Below are 18,183 nucleotides of genomic sequence, written 5' to 3' on the forward strand. Positions count from 1 at the left end.
CTGCCACCAACGGGGCCCCATTCACGGCGTTGGGAACCGGGCGCACATTGTCTGCCCCGCAGGGAGACAGCGAGGAGGCTCCTGCAGCCTCTTCCTGGTTTAATCTCCCCGCGCGGCTTCCCAGGTCCATGTCCCGTATCAGCTGCGGGGCCGGCAGCACCAGGCCCAGGAGGGAGGGCAGGTCCCAGCCCTGGAGGAGGATGCAGGCCAGGTTAAAACCCAGAGGCACCGTAGGACCTTCGCACCGTTGCTCTAAACCTAAACGCATTCCAGAGTAGGAAGATGATTGTAAAACAACTGAGAGACAAGCTCTGAGTTAAAGTCTTCAGAAGCAGCCCCAGGGCGAGTGCTGCGGGGTGCCTGCCACCACCACAGCCAGTCACAGGGCTCCACTGGACTTCTTATCACAGATGCGAACCTTTACTTTTTTGTGTGTAATTTTTGAAATTGTTGCTGTTAACCTCTTGTTATGAGAAGTTTAAAAAGAAGACAAATCCCTAATGAGTGAGGAGGACCAGGCTCTGGGCAGGTGTTGGCGGCATCTGTGCTGGGCTGGGGTCCTGGACCCTGGGTGAGGCCGGGCCGTGCACACCCTTGTGTGGCTCTTGGAGGCGCCGAGCACTCAGCCCGTGTTGGGGGCAGCCCCGGTCCCTCTCCTGGACACACAGGTCAGCCCTTGGGGGGCATCTGGGGGCTGAGCCAGAGGTGCACGTCAGCCTTCCTAGGCACCATCCACTGAGGCGTCCCGAAACCTTCCTGAGCTTTCAGCTGGAAAGGAGATTTTCCCATAAGTGACGGGACTCTTTGTCTCCCCTCTGAAATGTGGCCTGGGCTAGTTCAACAGAAACATTTTACATTACAACTGTGAAATCTCGGCATAAAGCACCCCTTTGTCCCCCCATTATTTTCTCACAAATACAGTCCATTGTCATGGCGCTGAAGTTAATTTGATCAACATTGGGACATTTAACTTTTATGTCCAGTCAAAAGAGTTGTTTCATGCTCATTTTGGGCATTCAAAGGAAATGATTGCCAGAAAAATAATGTTCTTCTGAACAATTCCAAGCAATTAGTTTCCCAGGGAGAGGTGACGTGATGCCCGCGCCCCAGCCCCGCTTTGTGGCTTTATGGAGGGCCATCAGTTAGCTGTCAGCCGCTCAAAGAGCCCCCAACCTAAATGTTTCTCTTTAGACGTTCCCAGAACTTGCCTTGCTGTGCAGCCAGTAAAGAAAAGCTGCTGCGTCTCCAGGCAAAGGCAAACTCGGCATTAAAGATCTGGGTCACCCTGAGCGCTCCTGGCCACAGGGCTGGTTCTCGCGCTCCTCACACTCCCGCTGGCCTCGGAGAACAGCTCACAGGCTCTTGCTGGTCGTGGGCTCGTCCCAATCAGGCTTTCTCAGACTCGGAGACCTCAGGGTGGCCGAGGTCATGTGTCTGTGGAGCCCACCAGGCACCCTGTGGTGTCCCTCCGCATGCCCGGGACTCCTGGCAGCACAAGCCCGTGCCCTCTGCCGTTCCGCTGCCGTGAAGCCCGCTGCCTCTGTGTCGCCTTAGCCTCTCCAGGGCGTGGTCGGTCCACTGCTGCCCGGCAGGAGGGGCTCCTTTCGCCTGTGCCTCAGCTGATCCATGGCTGCGATCTTCATTTTGTTGAACATGGAGTCAAGAGCCAAGAAAGGTGGTGCCGCTATGCAGATGCAGGGGCAGCGCCTGCACCCGCCACGCACCCTGCACGTTCTCCGCATGTTTCCTTTCCTTAAGAAACAAACCATGTGGGCCCGCAGGTGCCCCGTCCTCCATCCTGAACCCCATCCTGGCCCCCAGCATCAGCCTGAATTCAGCACCTGTCGCTCCTTTGCAGCTTTCTGGCCTCTTGTGACACAGGCACGGATGTTTCTGTACTTTTATTATGTGCCAGCTGGAGGCAAGCGTCGACGTGACGTTGCTGTGACGCCTGTGTGTGGTTTATGTCTTTACACATGTCATCGCCTGTGACCAACATGTCCAGCATCCTGTGAACGGAGTCTGCCGGACGTCTCCACGAGCTCCAGCCACGGTGCTCGGTCATGGGACTCGCTGCCGGCTGTCTGGAGAGCGTTTGGGTGGTTCCCGGCCCTTTGGTGGCAGACAGGACGATGCCTGTGCTGGGCCATGGGGGCCGTGTGTCTCCACTCCCGCTGGTCCTTTCCACACCCTGAACCCCAGCGTCACCACTGGCATCTCAGCCAGTTGTGTTTTCTGCTAGCTGGAGAGGAGTGGGGGGTCCTGGAGGTTGAGGCACTTCTGTGCCGCACCAGTTTTTGTGGTTTATGGCGGTGTCCAAGCAGAGTTTGAGAGGGTGGGTCTCAGAGTGAGAAAAACAAAAGTAAAATGGCGATGCTCCGTGTGGAGAGCATGAGAGCGGCGGCTGCCGAAGGAGAGCCCTGCACAGCCCTCCTGCCGCCCTGCACGGGGCTCCCCGCACGACTCTGCCCGAGAGCACTTGATGTGGGGATGGACTCATCGAAGGGAGTGTGGGCTTTAAAAGGTGCCAGACACTGAGAAGGCACATACTGCTGGGGCCCAGGATGCCCCCAGCCCCAAGGCTGAGGTCCAGAGGCCATCTCAGCCCCGCCCACCGCAACACAACTCTGTGGCGGGGCTTTGCAGCCGACCTTAGTTCTCAGTTTGAGATCTGAGTTCTGGTGACAGCTTGCAGACGGCCGCCTTCTCACTGCGTCCTCACGTGGTGGAGGGAGGGAGGGAGGGAAGGTGAGCTTTTGGTGTCTTCCTCTTTTACAAGGACACCCTTCCTCTTGCATCAGGGCCCCGCCTCCCTCCCCCACCCCCGTGACCTCAGGTGCTGGCCCCTAAAGGGTTGGGGCTCCGAGGCTGGGACTCACTGGGTGGGGAAGTCAGGGGGCCTTTGGGTGCGGCACTGGGGATCAGCGGGTTGGTCAAGGAGCTTCCTCAAGAGCAGTGGTTGCTGTGACTCCACCCAGTGAGCAGCCTGGCTGCCCCAGGCACTTTGGGGGCTCTGCTAGCCCTGAGGCTGACCCTGCTGCTTCAGAACATCCCGCCATCTGCCTGGGTTCTGCCTGGAGGAGCCTTAGACGACTGTCTTCAGGGTTCTGTGGTACCTGGGTTCTGTCTGAGGGCGCCTTAGACGGCTGTCTTGTGGGTTCTGTGGTACCTGGGTTCTTTCTGGGGGCGCCTTAGACAGCTGTCTTCAGGGTTCTGTGGTGCCTGGGTTCTGTCTGGGCGCCTTAGACGGCTGTCTTGCGGGTTCTGTGGTGCCTGGGTTCTGTCTGGGCGCCTTAGACAGCTGTCTTCAGGGTTCTGTGGTACCTGGGTTCTGTCTGGGCACCTTAGACGACTGTCTTCAGGGTTCTGTGGTACCTGGGTTCTGTCTGGGCACCTTAGACGGCTGTCTTGCGGGTTCTGTGGTACCTGGGTTCTGTCTGGGCGCCTTAGACGGCTGTCTTCAGGGTTCTGTGGTACCTGGGTTCTGTCTGGGCACCTTAGACGGCTGTCTTGCGGGTTCTGTGGTACCTGGGTTCTTTCTGGGGGCGCCTTAGACAGCTGTCTTCAGGGTTCTGTGGTACCTGAGTTCTGTCTGGGCGCCTTAGACGGCTGTCTTGCGGGTTCTGTGGTGCGTGGGTTCTGTCTGGGTGCCTTAGACGGCCGTCTTCAGGGTTCTGTGGTACCTGGGAGCTGTCTGGGCGCCTTAGACAGCTGTCTTCAGGGTTCTGTGGTACCTGGGTTCTGTCTGGGCGCCTTAGACGGCTGTCTTCAGGGTTCTGTGGTACCTGGGTTCTGTCTGGGCACCTTAGACGGCTGTCTTGCGGGTTCTGTGGTACCTGGGTTCTTTCTGGGGGCGCCTTAGACAGCTGTCTTCAGGGTTCTGTGGTACCTGGGTTCTGTCTGAGCACCTTAGACAGCTGTCTTCAGGGTTCTGTGGTGCCTGGGTTCTGTCTGGGCGCCTTAGACGACTGTCTTGCGGGTTCTGTGGTACCTGGGTTCTGTCTGGGCGCCTTAGACGGCTGTCTTCAGGGTTCTGTGGTGCCTGGGTTCTCTCTGGGCGCCTTAGATGGCTGTCTTGCGGGTTCTGTGGTACCTGGGTTCTGTCTGGGCACCTTAGACGACTGTCTTCAGGGTTCTGTGGTACCTGGGTTCTGTCTAGGCACCTTAGACGACTGTCTTCAGGGTTCTGTGGTGCCTGGTTTCTGTCTGGGCGCCTTAGATGCTGTCTTCAGGGTTCTGTGGTGCCTGGGTTCTGTCTGAGCGCCTTAGACGGTTGTCTGGCGGGTTCTGTGGTACCTGGGTTCTGTCTGGGCACCTTAGACGACTGTCTTCAGGGTTCTGTGGTACCTCGGTTCTGTCTGGGCACCTTAGACAGCTGTCTTGCGGGTTCTGTGGTACCTGGGTTCTGTCTGGGCACCTTAGACGGCTGTCTTCAGGGTTCTGTGGTGCCTGGGTTCTGTCTGGACGCCTTAGACGGCTGTCTTGCGGGTTCTGTGGTACCTGGGTTCTGTCTGGGCGCCTTAGACGACTGTCTTGCGGGTTCTGTGGTACCTGGGTTCTGTCTGGGCGCCTTAGACGACTGTCTTGCGGGTTCTGTGGTACCTGGGTTCTGTCTGGGCGCCTTAGACGGCTGTCTCGCGGGTTCTGTGGTACCTGGGTTCTGTCTGGGCACCTTAGACGACTGTCTTCAGGGTTCTGTGGTACCTGGGTTCTGTCTGGGTGCCTTAGACGGCTGTCTTGCGGGTTCTGTGGTACCTGGGTTCTGTCTGGGCACCTTAGACGACTGTCTTGGGGGTTCTGTGGTACCTGGGTTCTGTCTGGGCACCTTAGACAGCTGTCTTCAGGGTTCTGTGGCAACTGGGTTCTGTCTGGGCGCCTTAGGCGGCTGTCTTCAGGGTTCTGTGGTACCTGGGTTCTGTCTGGGCGCCTTAGACGGCTGTCTTGCGGGTTCTGTGGTACCTGGGTTCTGTCTGGGCACCTTAGACGGCTGTCTTCAGGGTTCTGTGGTACCTGGGTTCTGTCTGGGCACCTTAGACGGCTGTCTTGCGGGTTCTGTGGTACCTGGGTTCTGTCTGGGCGCCTTAGACGGCTGTCTTGCGGGTTCTGTGGTGCCTGGGTTCTGTCTGGGTGCCTTAGACGGCTGTCTTGCGGGTTCTGTGGTGCCTGGGTTCTTTCTGGAGGCGCCTTAGACAGCTGTCTTGCGGGTTCTGTGGTACCTGGGTTCTGTCTGGGCACCTTAGACGGCTGTCTTGCAGGTTCTGTGGTACCTGGGTTCTGTCTGGGCGCCTTAGACGGCTGTCTTCAGGGTTCTGTGGTACCTGGGTTCTTTCTGTGTGCCTTAGACGGCTGTCTTGTGGGTTCTGTGGTGCCTGGGTTCTGTCTGGGCACCTTAGACGACTGTCTTCAGGGTTCTGTGGTACCTCGGTTCTGTCTGGGCGCCTTAGACGGCTGTCTTCAGGGTTCTGTGGTACCTGGGTTCTGTCTGGGCACCTTAGACGGCTGTCTTCAGGGTTCTGTGGTACCTGGGTTCTTTCTGGGGGCACCTTAGATAGCTGTCTTCAGGGTTCTGTGGTGCCTGGGTTCTGTCTGGGCGCCTTAGACGGCTGTCTTGTGGGTTCTGTGGTACCTGGGTTCTGTCTGGGCGCCTTAGACGGCTGTCTTGCGGGTTCTGTGGTACCTGGGTTCTGTCCGGGCACCTTAGATGGCTGTCTTCAGGGTTCTGTGGTACCTGGGTTCTGTCTGGGCACCTTAGACGGCTGTCTTGTGGGTTCTGTGGCACCTGGGTTCTGTCTGGGCACCTTAGACGGCTGTCTTGCGGGTTCTGTGGTGCCTGGGTTCTGTCTGGGTGCCTTAGACGGCTGTCTTGCGGGTTCTGTGGTGCCTGGGTTCTTTCTGGAGGCGCCTTAGACAGCTGTCTTCAGGGTTCTGTGGTACCTGGGTTCTGTCTGGGCACCTTAGACGGCTGTCTTGCGGGTTCTGTGGTACCTGGGTTCTGTCTGGGCGCCTTAGACGGCTGTCTTCAGGGTTCTGTGGTACCTGGGTTCTGTCTGGGTGCCTTAGACAGCTGTCTTGCGGGTTCTTTGGTGCCTGGGTTCTGTCTGGGCACCTTAGACGACTGTCTTCAGGGTTCTGTGGTACCTCGGTTCTGTCTGGGCACCTTAGACGGCTGTCTTCAGGGTTCTGTGGTACCTGGGTTCTGTCTGGGCACCTTAGACGGCTGTCTTCAGGGTTCTGTGGTACCTGGGTTCTTTCTGGGGGCACCTTAGACAGCTGTCTTCAGGGTTCTGTGGTGCCTGAGTTCTGTCTGGGCGCCTTAGACGGCTGTCTTGCGGGTTCTGTGGTACCTGGGTTCTGTCTGGGCGCCTTAGATGGCTGTCTTGCGGGTTCTGTGGTACCTGGGTTCTGTCTGGGCACCTTAGACGGCTGTCTTCAGGGATCTGTGGTACCTGGGTTCTGTCTGGGCGCCTTAGACGGCTGTCTTGCGGGTTCTGTGGTGCCTGGGTTCTGTCTGGGCGCCTTAGACGGCTGTCTTGCGGGTTCTGTGGTGCCTGGGTTCTGTCTGGGCACCTTAGACGACTGTCTTCAGGGTTCTGTGGTACCTGGGTTCTGTCTGGGGGCCTTAGATGGCTGTCTTCAGGGTTCTGTGGTACCTGGGTTCTGCCTGGAGGAGCCTTAGACGACTGTCTTCAGGGTTCTGTGGTACCTGGGTTCTGTCTGGGCGCCATAGACGGCTGTCTTCAGGGTTCTGTGATACCTGGGTTCTTTCTGGGGGCGCCTTAGACTGCTGTCTTCAGGGTTCTGTGGTGCCTGGGTTCTGTCTGGGCACCTTAGATAGCTGTCTTGCGGGTTCTGTGGTGCCTGGGTTCTGTCTGGGCGCCTTAGACGGCTGTCTTGCGGGTTCTGTGGTACCTGGATTCTTTCTGGGGGCGCCTTAGACAGCTGTCTTCAGGGTTCTGTGGTGCCTGGGTTCTGTCTGGGTGCCTTAGACGGCTGGCTTCAGGGTTCTGTGGTACCTGGGTTCTGTCTGGGCGCCTTAGACGGCTGTCTTCAGGGTTCTGTGGTGCCTGGGTTCTGTCTGGGGGCCTTAGACGGCTATCTTGCGGTTTCTGTGGTGCCTGGGTTCTGTCTGGGCACCTTAGACGGCTGTCTTCAGGGTTCTGTGGTACCTGGGTTCTGTCTGGGCACCTTAGACAGCTGTCTTCAGGGTTCTGTGGTGCCTGGGTTCTGTCTGGGCACCTTAGACAGCTGTCTTGCGGGTTCTGTGGTGCCTGGGTTCTGTCTGGGCGCCTTAGACTGCTGTCTTCAGGGTTCTGTGGTGCCTGGGTTCTGTCTGGGCACCTGAGACGGCTGTCTTGCGGGTTCTGTGGTGCCTAGGTTCTGTCTGGGGGCGCCTTAGATGGCTGTCTTGCCTGCGTCTGTGGTGCTGGGAGATTCACCCTGAGGGCTTGAGGCTTTATGGGGGTAGAGCTCACAGTGGGTGGAGTAAAAAGTGAAGTCATGAAAAATAGTCCAGCAGTTTCTAGGAAGGTAAAAATAAACAGGCTGGTATGTTTATTTTGGGGGGATGAGTTTATTTAAAGTGGCTTAAACACATCTGCGATGAACCATGCAGTGAGGTGTTTATGATTATTAAGAGAAACTTTTAAGCGATTAACTAAAATATTCTCAGTAGTTTTAGTAATTTTATACTGTCGATGTTTTTGCTTATGTAAAGTTGTTTGATCAGAGAATGTGGTCTCTACCATAGCAGAGAAACAAACCAACTTTAATAGATTCCCAATTGTACACAACTTAGGCCTTTAAAAATACAGTGCCAAAGGTTTCAGCTACGGTCGCTTTCAGGGGTTAAAAAATAAAAAAGGAAAGAAGGAAAAAAACCAACTCCTAGCAAGTTAGGTGTCCTGGTTGGATGAATGTCTCACGGCCAGTTTGCTTCCCACACTGCACTAGCTCCTCCTTGGGGGAAAAAAAACTAGCCCCATTCGAGTCTGATATTTTTTAGGGCCCCAGTGAGACTGCCGATGACGCTCTCCCGCCACCTGCCCTGTCACCGTGGGGCCTCCCACGGTGTCCCAGGCCCCAGCAGCCTCGCGCCCGGTTCCCACTGCTGTGTTAGGGAAGCGCCCGCTGTTGGAAATGTAATTCGGAACGTTCAACCCGTGACTCTCCCTAAGTCTTTAATCTGCGGTGTCGTGAGGTCGCAGTTGTCCTGGAGACACGCTGACGAGCCCCCCAGCCGTCGCGGTGGAGCAGCTGCTGGGACGATGAGGCAGCCCCTCCTCCCAGTGCCTCCGCCGCGTAATGAGACCACTTGTCAAAACAGAGAGAGACACCCATTTTCAAGGCCTAAAAAATTGATTTTTATGGCTCTTCTTGTAATTCTCTTTTTGAATTAGGCACATGATATTGATGTGGGCCTACGTTTTAATCATAATAGCTACTGACAAGGTAATTAATTTTAGAACAACTGTTTTTTTTTCTCCTGCTCCAAATGGCACTATATTGAAATTGAAAGTGAGCTCTGGGAGGGCAGCGGGGCTGGCACTCAGGTGATTGCCTCGGCCGTGACAGCCCCTTCGTCTTGCGGCCGCCGTGCACCCTTTAGAGGCAGCTGCTGTTATTAATGGGCTCAAGCTGTTCTGTCAGCAGAGCAGGGCGAGGAAGTGTGATCCAGTTTAGGGTTTCATGATGATCCTGCAGGATTCCAGACAGGACGATGACGCGGCGTCTCCAGGGCGTTGCAGGCCCACCTGGTGCGTCGCCTGGCGGCTTTCTCGGGAAGAAGGAGCAGCCAGGCCTGGGCAGGGCCTCCTGTGAGGCGGCACCCCAGAGTATTGAGAGAGGAAACTCGGTCAGTGGAGTGAGGGCCAGCCGGGAGGCCGCATTTCCTCTCTCTCCGCACTGGGGAACTCATTAGAGTTTGTTCCGTCAGGGTTCTGCTGTTTGTTTAGCCAACTGACGGCCGCGTCTGTTCCTGCGACACCGCACACAGATGCTTGGCCATGTGGGGATTGGCCGTGTGGGGATTGGCCATGTGGGGATTGGCCGTGTGGGGATTGGCCGTGTGGGGATTGGCCATGTGGGGATTGGCCATGTGGGGATTGGCCGTGTGGGGATTGGCCGTGTGGGGATTGGCCATGTGGGGATTGGCCGTGTGGGGATTGGTTTTGTGGGGATTGGCCGTGTGGGGATTGGTTTTGTGGGGATTGGCCATGTGGGGATTGGCTGTGTGGGGATTGGCCGTGTGGGGATTGGCCATGTGGGGATGGCTTTGGTATCTTGTGGTCTCGCCTACACCTGGGCTTGGCTGGCTGCATCCTGCCCGCTGGCCGGCGGGCGTTGCCGCCCTCCCTCGGGAGCCTCTGTGCCCCGGGCTGCCGCTCTCCTGGGGTCTCGGAGCACAGGGCCCTCTGTCTTCCTCCATGCACCCTCCGAGCTTTCTGTGCTCACGGGACACAGCAAGCGCTTCCCTTTCTCCTGGGCAGAGCTTGGGGCTCGTTTAAGCAAATCACACTAGAATAGATCAAACTTGTTACAACTGAGATTTAACCTAAAGTGGAAGGAATTCCAATTAAAAAGGTAAACAAGACTTTCGTGGGCTTTGCCAAGCCAAACTATAGCAATTAACAGGCAAGAGGAGCACGAAATAGCTGGGACCATTTTTGAAAGAACTGTCAACAAGAAGGACTTCCCTATAAAAAGTTGTACTAATTAAAAGCATGCAGGAATTGATTTTTTAAAAGATCTGCAGAAAAGAATAGATTGTCTCAAAAAAACCCGTGCCGCTGGGAATGTTGTGTTGAGATACAGACTTGGTGGGAAGATGGGACACGTTGAATAAATGGTGCCGATCAATTGACCGTCCGCTTGGGAAATCGATGAACTTAGATCCCTGCTCTACACCTTAATTCCGGATGGATTAAAGGATAACCCTTAAAACTCTACCATAAAGATGAAGGTGGGGGCTCCATGCCCGCGTGGGGACTGGGGCAGGTGTCTCAGCCACAGGGGAAACTGATACATGTGACTATATGGAAATTAAAACTTTTGCCTGACAGAAGCCACCACAGGCAAAACGGAAAGGCCAGCCCCAGGCCAGCAGGAGCACGTGTTCACCACAGACGGGGGTTACTCAATCTCCAGAACTCACAAGGAGGCCCCAGGCCAGCAGGAGCACACACCATATTCACCGCAGATGGGGGTTACTCATTCTCCAGAACTCACAGGGAGGCCCCAGGACGACAGGAGCACACGCCATATTCACCGCAGATGGGGGTTACTCACTCTCCATAACTCACAGGGAGGCCCCAGGATGACAGGTGCACATGCCATATTCACCACAGACGGGGGTCACTCTCCAGAACTCACGGGGGGCCCCAGGCTAGCAGGAGCACATGCCATATTCACCACAGACAGGGGTTACTCACTCTCCAGAACTCACGGGGAGGCCCCAGGATGACAGGAGCACACGCCGTATTCACCACAGACGGGGATCACTCTCCAGAACTCACGGGGAGACCCCAGGACGACAGGAGCACACGCCATATTCACCACAGACGGGGGTCACTCTCCAGAACTCACGGGGGGCCCCAGGCCAGCAGGAGCACACGCCATATTCACCGCAGATGGGGGTTACTCTCCAGAACTCACAGGGAGGCCCCTGGAATCAAAGAGAAAAGGCCAGGAACCAAAGAGAACAGCAGGCTGTGAACAGGTGAAATCGGGAGAAAATGCAAATTTTGATATGTAGATTTAAAAATATTGAGGGTGTGCAAGTTAAGATGGAAATGAACTCCTACGCTCCATAGCCAAAGTGAAATACAGTGGTGATGGTTCCACCCGCACTCAGTCATGAAAGTGTGACCTGCACGGATGCTCCGTCCTCCCTCGCTCTGGTCTAAAGGCCCTGGACAGTGCAGAGCGGGTCCACAGCCATTGGTGGCCCCGGCTGGTGCCTCACGGCCACTTGGCTCTCCAACCCGAGGGTGGAGGTGTCAGCGGTGGCGGCGGGGCAACGCAGAACAAGACCACATAAGAACTGGGAAGCGGGAGACCATCTGCTCACTTGGGGATTCTTCTACTTCTCAAGCGAATGGATCAAGCTGGAAAAGGCTGAGTTAGTGATTGGTTGGGCCCCCTGCCTCCCGGCCTCATCCCACTGGGCCCTACCGTGCCCCTCATGCCCCTGTCACCAGCTCCAAGAGGGCACAGTGCTCCCAGCAGTGACCTGCCCGGGCTGGCACTCCCTGCCTGTGGACAGCTGTGCACACCTGCAGTTAACCTGATTGGAAGCTCTCACTTTTGCCTGGCTAATAACCTGAGTTTATTATCTCCAAATGCAGCGTAGTTGGATGGGCAGCCTCTGTGCTGCCTGCCCCTGCCCTGGCAGCCCCACCTGGCTCTGGGCTGTGAAATTAGGAAATTTGGCAACCAGAGTATTTCCTTTTTTTGTCTACAGATCACATGTTTCTGTTCCACTGATGGTTTTGGTGGCCAATGCCACGTTGCAAGGGTTCTCGTGTTGCTTTCACACCAGAAGGGTTGAGTGCCTTGCCCTCCTCAAAAGCAAGCAGTTCACGGCGTTACTGACTGGAGCCGCTGAGGGGAGATTTGGGGTTTGAGTGAGTTGGCGGTTTCTGAGATCTTTTTACAGGCTTATATCTGTAAGGGAAGCCGCAGTGGAAAAACCTTTAGGAAACTGATTGTGATTGATTGAAAATATGAGGAAGAATTTTTCTTGAGTACAGCTGTACCTGGCTAAAAACATACACACACGTATGCAGCCACTGTTACCCTCTCACTTTGAAACGTCCGAGTGGAGATCATATGTAAACCTTCAAAACAGGTCTGAGGGGACATCCCTGTCTGGGAGGAGAGAGCGGGGGCTCCGGTTCCTGCCGGTTCACCTGCACGCGCCTCCCCGTCCATCTCCCTCCCGCTGTCGGTCCCTCCTCCCGTCTGTCTCCCTCCCGCCTTTCCTGAGCTCTGCGGTGGATTATTTGGTTTGTGGTGGATTATTCAGGCATCCTTGTCCGGCCCTTTCCCGTTCTCGGGGCAGCCGTGGTTTTCCATGCGTGAGGCTCTCACGCTGCCCTGGCCCAGTGGGTGAGGAGGCAGCTGAGACTCTGCCTTTCCTCTTCCTCCATGTCGCTGGCAACAGATGCGTGTCCGTGTTGCCAAGGGCTGAGCACTGCTCAGTGGACCTCTATTGGGGGTGGTCTCAGAGCTGAATTTTGGGTGTGCAAAGAGGCAACCACTGAGGTTCCCCTGCAGCAGGTGACAGAACAGAGAGTGTGCGGATGGGGAGCGTGGAGGAGCACCGGGGCCGGGCATGAGGGCTGGCCGGCTTCAGCGCCCTCGGTAACAAGTCCTCTTTTTCTTTCCAGAATCATTGATCAGCGATTCGAGAAGGTTTCCTACTTTGTATTTGGTGATTTCAACTTCCGGCTGGATTCCAAGTCCGTCGTGGAGGTAGGCGCTGGCTTCCCTCCCGCCCTGGTCTCATGCCTTGCTCTGTGTTGAGGAAAACAGTGGAAGGAGCGTGGCCCCTTACTGGCACTTTCAATGCCATCCGCCTCCCGGGATGCACTTTTTAAGGCAAAACCTTTCAATGAAGAAGCATGTTTTGCTGTCGGCAGAGGGATCCGTGTTGGAATCCGGGGTGCGCGGGCCCTCAAGGTTGCCCCGGATGGCGGGTGACAGTGCTGTGGGGCTTTGCCCTGTGGCTTCCGCCGTCGGCACACAAGGAGCTGCTGGAGTGCCGTCACAGCGCCACCCCCTCGATGCCCACAGAGCTGCAGCCTCTGCAGAGTGTCAGCTCCTTCACACTGTCCAACTTGATCTCAGCGATTTTTTGTCATAACACGTAGAAACTGTCAGAGCCCGTTTTAAACATTGTGCTTTTCTGTCTGCAAAGTCATTATTCCGTGAGTTAACGAGTCGTCACCCCCGCCTGGGAACTCAGGGGTCCCGGGTGCTCCTGGGTGTGGGAACTCAGGGGTCCAGGGTGCTCCTGGGTGTGCTTTCGGGCTGGCCGGGGACCAGCAGCTTGGGCGCCGAGGTGCCACCGACAGGAAGTGGGCCTCTAGGCTCAGTGCAAGGGCCGATGTTTCTCTGTGGTCCAGTCCACGCTGGCTGTGGGTCCTCCCTCCCAGTTTTCATGACTTGGGATTCCACTTCCCGGGCAGCTGTGAAGAGGGGGGTGTGGGAAATGGTGGAGCACCTGTTGCCCACCCGCCCTGGCCCTGCTGCCCTCACCCTCAGCCTCCCTGGTGGCCCCTCCAGGTGCTGGGCATGAGCTGACAGCCCACAGCGGGGCCACAGTAAGTTGGATGGGGCCACGGTGAGTCAGATGGGGACACGGTAAGTCGGATGGGGACACGGTGAGTCAGATGGGGACATGGTGAGTTGGATGGGGACACAGTGAGTTGGATGGGAACACGGTGAGTCGAACGGGGACATGGCGGTCCCCGAGACTGTTATCTTCCCATTTTAGTCTCCAGTTCCAAACACCCACACGTATTCATCTTCCAACGGTGGCAGGACATTGTTTCTGAAAGACAGACTGAGCTGGCTTTGATCATCCTGGGTCTCTTGTGGTTGGCAGAAATGAGTGCCCCTAAAACCCTCTGTTGGGTTGAGCTGGCAGCACCTTGTCACAAGGCCCCACCGCATGCCTGTGTATCAACATTTGGCCGTGCTGGTGGCATTGCCTAAACGTTCAGTGGCTCCTGGTCGAGGCATCCCTTCATCTGGCTGTGGAGGAGGAAGGCAGGGCCTCTGCGTGTGGTGGGCTGAGGAGCACATGGAGTTTTTAAAGCACACATCCCCCAGCAGGGGCCCCGAAGTCCTTTCCATCCCGCTGCTGTGCTTCCTTTCTCCTCGTAGAGGCTGTCAAATGGATCGGTCTCTGGCCTGCCATCCCACAGGCTCGGTGAGGGCTCGAGGGCAGGGGCTGTGCCCATCCTTGCTAGAATCCATGTCCCCGCGTCCGAGGCTGTGCGGGACCCGGGAGCAAGGCCTGGGGGCCACAGAGGCGGGGCCCTGTCATAGGCTCCTCCTCCACCCCCGCCAAGCCACAGGGGGCTGGAAGCGGCATTTCCGGCAGGTCTGGAACATCTCTGAGTGAGCTCATTTCTAACCTGTTACTCGAGAGCCAGTGAGTCCACAGTGCACATAAGTACTTCCCGCTCTGACTGGGAGGGGCCAGGATGAAAGTCAAGAAGAACCCGCGAAAGACCAAAGCCGATCAATCCCGGGCGCCCAGCAATTGGGGAAAGGTCAGGGAGCTTGGAAAGGGCCTTTTCCTTCTGGTAGAGCAAATGTCACAGTAAAGGGCAGCTGGTCCTGGCCGGGTCAGAGCCGTGGTGAGGCACGCACTGGAGCAGCCGCGGGAGCCTCCCTGGTGAAGGGAGCCAGCTGCTGAGCCCGGTGGCCGGGCCGTGTGACCACAAGGCGTCGGGGGCAGTGGGAAGCCTGGGCTCCGGTGCCTGTGGGGCTTGTGTGGCCGCTCTGGTCTTGGCAGGCGTGGGGGTCCTGGACGCTGGGTCCCGTGGGGCTTGTGTGGCCGCTGTGGTCTCAGCAGGCGTGGGGGGCCTGGACTCCAGGGCCTGTGGGGCTTGCGTGGCCGCTGTGGTCTCAGCAGGCGTGGGGGGCCTGGACGCTGGGTCCTGTGGGGCGTTGGGCAACTCCTATGAAGGACTGCAAGGCTTTCCTTTTTCTGCTGAGCAGAAAAGGAAGAAAGCACCTCACCGGGGTTTGCCTGTGGGTGTGGCCGTAAGAGGAGGCATGGCGGGAGAACAGTGCAGGGGCCTCGGGAGCCGGCCTGAGTCTGCCACATCTTCTCCTGCATCACCTGGCCTGCTCCCCTGGCCTCCCTAAGTGCCTTCACACACAGCCCTCAACCCTCATGGGTCACTGTCAGCAGTGTTTTTTGATCACCAAGATCAGTCCTATTTCTTAAAGAGTTCCTCTCACACAGGCAGTCGCAGCACGGCAGCTCCTGCCCAGGTCTAGATGGCCCTGGTGCCCTGGACCCCGCCAGGGAGGGTGGGTGCAGAGCAGGAACTGCCTCCCGGGCCTCAGTGGGCTCTCCGGACCTTCCAGTTTCAGGTCTGGGACCTGCCTGAGTTTTACCCAGGAAGAAGCAAGACCATGCTCGCCCCCACCTGTACCCCGTCCTCCGTGTTCGTGTTAGGCTGTCGCTAAAGGAGCCCTCGTCCCAGCCCTCTGCGCTGCTGAAGGGGTCCACGCAGAGGGCCAGTGCTGGGGAGGGCACTGGCCTGAAGCCAGAGTTCGAAGATTCCCATCACCAATAAACCAGTGGGATCTTCCACGGCAGCCTTCATGCTTAACTTTAAACATCAAACTACAGAGGACGGGAATTCTAATGGCTGTGCTTAAGGGGCTGTTTACTTTGTGAACTGGTGATAAACAGTTCTCCAGAAACTGCCACTTTCTCCTGAGAGTCAGTAAAGAGCTTCAGCAACCTCCAGGCAGCTGCTCGAGCGGCTGGTGGAGCACTCCAGGGCGAGTGAGCACCTGTGTCTGAGAGCCGCCCACACCACCATAAGCCTCACCAGCTCCCGTCCTTCAGGAATTGAGTCGTCACTGTTTTTTATCACTTTCCCATCCACAGTAATTGGAACAGACATGGAGTTACTTGAAATGCTGTTTTTCCTCTCAGTTCCCCCACAGTAGCTGGTTTTAAATGGAGTCCAGCAGCCTGGGTCCACCTGCCCTGTCCTCAGCCCCTGCGGGGCCCTCCCCACCACCTCCTGGTCTTCCCTCAGCCCCTCTGCCCTGGACCGGCCAGGCCCCTTTCTGGGCTCCACGGGGTGCATCATTGCCACCCATCTGCCTCCGCCCCCATCACGCTGGTGTCCTGCTTGCCGGGGCCACGTGGGCGAGTCGGGTGACAGACCCAGTGCAGCCGGGTGGGCTGGTGGACGTGCTGGCCGGGGCTGCGTGGGCAGCGCGGGAGGGGGCGCCATCTGCTGCAGGACAGTTCACGTCTGTCCCTCACGCCCTGTCTGCAGGCTCCTCGGCCGCTCTGCAGCCCCACCCACTCAGCTCTGTGGAGAGGTGTCCTGGGTGTAGGAAGAGCAGCTCCTGCGTGCAGCTTGTTAAGACAGCGGGTGTGGGGCTTGCCTGGCCATCGAAGCGTCAGAGGTGACTATAAGTCAGGAAGGGAAAGAAAACTGCGGTCTTCCTGGAACCTCCTCTGCATGCCCCAAGTGGATTTCTCAAAGGAACAGTAAGCAGGAACGTGGCAGAGCTCCTGCGGGCCTGGCTGACCCAGGTGGCGTCTTGAAGTCCCAGCCGCGTTGGCGTGTCCTGCTGTGAGCCTGACCGCAAGCTGCCTCCCCTCTGCCCCTGCAGCGGCTGCCAGGACATGAGGCTAACAAGCACCGAGGGCAGCCCAGGAACCCGATTTTTCACTTCATTTCATTTTAATTCAGATCTGATAATTCAGATCTGATAGAGCCGCGTGGCTATTCCATGGGACAGTACAGACCAGGTGACTTTCAACCAGTGCAGGGGCTACCACGGGGGAGGAACATTCCCGTGGACTTGCTGTCCAGCCAGCTTGGGCTCAGCTGCTCCCCAGTGCATCCCTGTTCTCGGAACCACAGCCCTGAGGTGGGCCCTGGGTGGGGTCTCCACGCTGCCTGGCAGACGTGGCGGTCATTCACATGGGATGGCGTGGTCAGCCCTGCACAATCCCAGGGAAGAGTCAGGCCTGGGTTCCCCCCGGTGAGAGGTCAGAGAACAGAGAAGGCGGCCCTGGAGGTGACCGCACCCCTCCCGCATATCAGGCACCCCTCCTGCGTATCAGGTGTCCCTCCTGCGCATCAGGCGCCCCCTCCCACTTACCAGGCATCCCTGGGAGTGACTGCGTGCCTCCTGCATATCAGATGCCCCTGGGAGTCACTGCGTCCCTGCCCTGTATCAGACGCCCCTGGAAGTGACTGCGTCCCTCCTGCGTATCAGACGCCCCTGGGAGTGACCGCGTCCCTGCCCCATATCAGGCGGCCCTGGGAGTGACCGCATCCCTCCTGCGTATCAGACGACCCTGGGAGTGACCGCACCCCTGCCTCGTATCAGACGCAGGTGTTTTCAGCAGCAGGTTTTCTTCGCTGGTGCCGTTTGTTGGTGTCAGACATGAGGAGGGGACCAAGGAAGGGCACGCAGGAGGTGGTGGCTGAGCCTCCGTTGCATCTGCTGGGAGTGGGGGCTCTCCAGCCCCGCGATCAGCTTGGGAGGGAGCTGGTCTCTGGTGAGGGTTTCCCCCAGTGAGGGTTTCCTCCAGTGCGGGTTTCCTCCAGTGCAGAACTCAGTGTTCACACGAATCGGCAGAAGGAAAGCCGCATGTGCTCTGTGGTTATCACCGAGGCATGCCCAGGGCGTTCGTGGGAAATCCAGGTTCTGTCTGCAAAGGTCCCTTCTAAATGGCACCAGAATTGGACACCATGTCTTCAACAGACGTAGATGCCACCCAGGGGAGCCCCTGTCTAAATGGCACCAGAATTGGACACCATGTCCCCAACAGACGTAGATGCCACCCAGGGGAGCCCCCGGCACCCCAGGCAGTGGCAATGCAGATTCCTGGGAGCAGGGAGGCCTCCACCCACCACGGCTCATTCACACGCCCGGCCACCCTGGTCTCTGGGCTCTAGGATGCTGCCCGCGACAGCAGCTGCCCATGCAGTTACCAGGCCCTGGCTTATAATGCCCTCATGCTGGACAGACGTGGGTCTTACTGTTCTGCGCTGTTTGTCTGCCATTTGCAAAGGAATGGGAAGAAAAATGAATAGTTTTAAACTGGATTGTTTACTCAGCAAGTGTCTAAGATCCTTGCATTAGTGTTTGGAGGGTTTTCCTGCCCACGTGGCTCTTTAAGACTGTGGATACATAGCTGTTCATTTGACAAGTCTTTCGTTACATTTTGCACACAGTTTACTATGTAAGTAAAGCGAGCCTAGTGGAAAATAGGGAAAATGATGTGTAGTGTAGAGTTCTTGTAGGACTGTTCAGTCAAGGGAGGGCCACACCTCTGGAATAAGGACCGCTTTTCCCTCCTGGCATCATCAACACAGTCGTCAGCTGTGTGTCAAATTCCACAGCTCACTGAAGCTAAGTGCTTGGTGCAGGGACTGGCCCGAAGCTGAGCACCTGGATCCC

General features: G+C 57.2%; 1 protein-coding gene across 8 annotated transcripts in view; it reads left to right on the top strand.

The window, feature by feature from the left end:
• INPP5A (inositol polyphosphate-5-phosphatase A) overlaps window positions 1-18,183 on the top strand; it is a 245,694-nt gene that overhangs the window by 176,648 nt on the left and 50,863 nt on the right. For all 8 annotated transcript variants that reach the window (XR_001747104.2, XR_945735.2, XR_007061963.1 and 5 more), the window contains one exon: window positions 12,387-12,471. Coding sequence is in view for 4 of the 8 variants with exons in the window: in NM_005539.5 (NP_005530.3) it covers window positions 12,387-12,471 (85 nt within the window). In the remaining 4 variants the exon portion in view is untranslated. The remainder of the gene's footprint in view (window positions 1-12,386; window positions 12,472-18,183) is intronic.

Source organism: Homo sapiens, chromosome 10 (assembly GCF_000001405.40).
Source record: "Homo sapiens chromosome 10, GRCh38.p14 Primary Assembly".
Taxonomy (NCBI): Eukaryota; Metazoa; Chordata; class Mammalia; order Primates; family Hominidae; genus Homo; species Homo sapiens.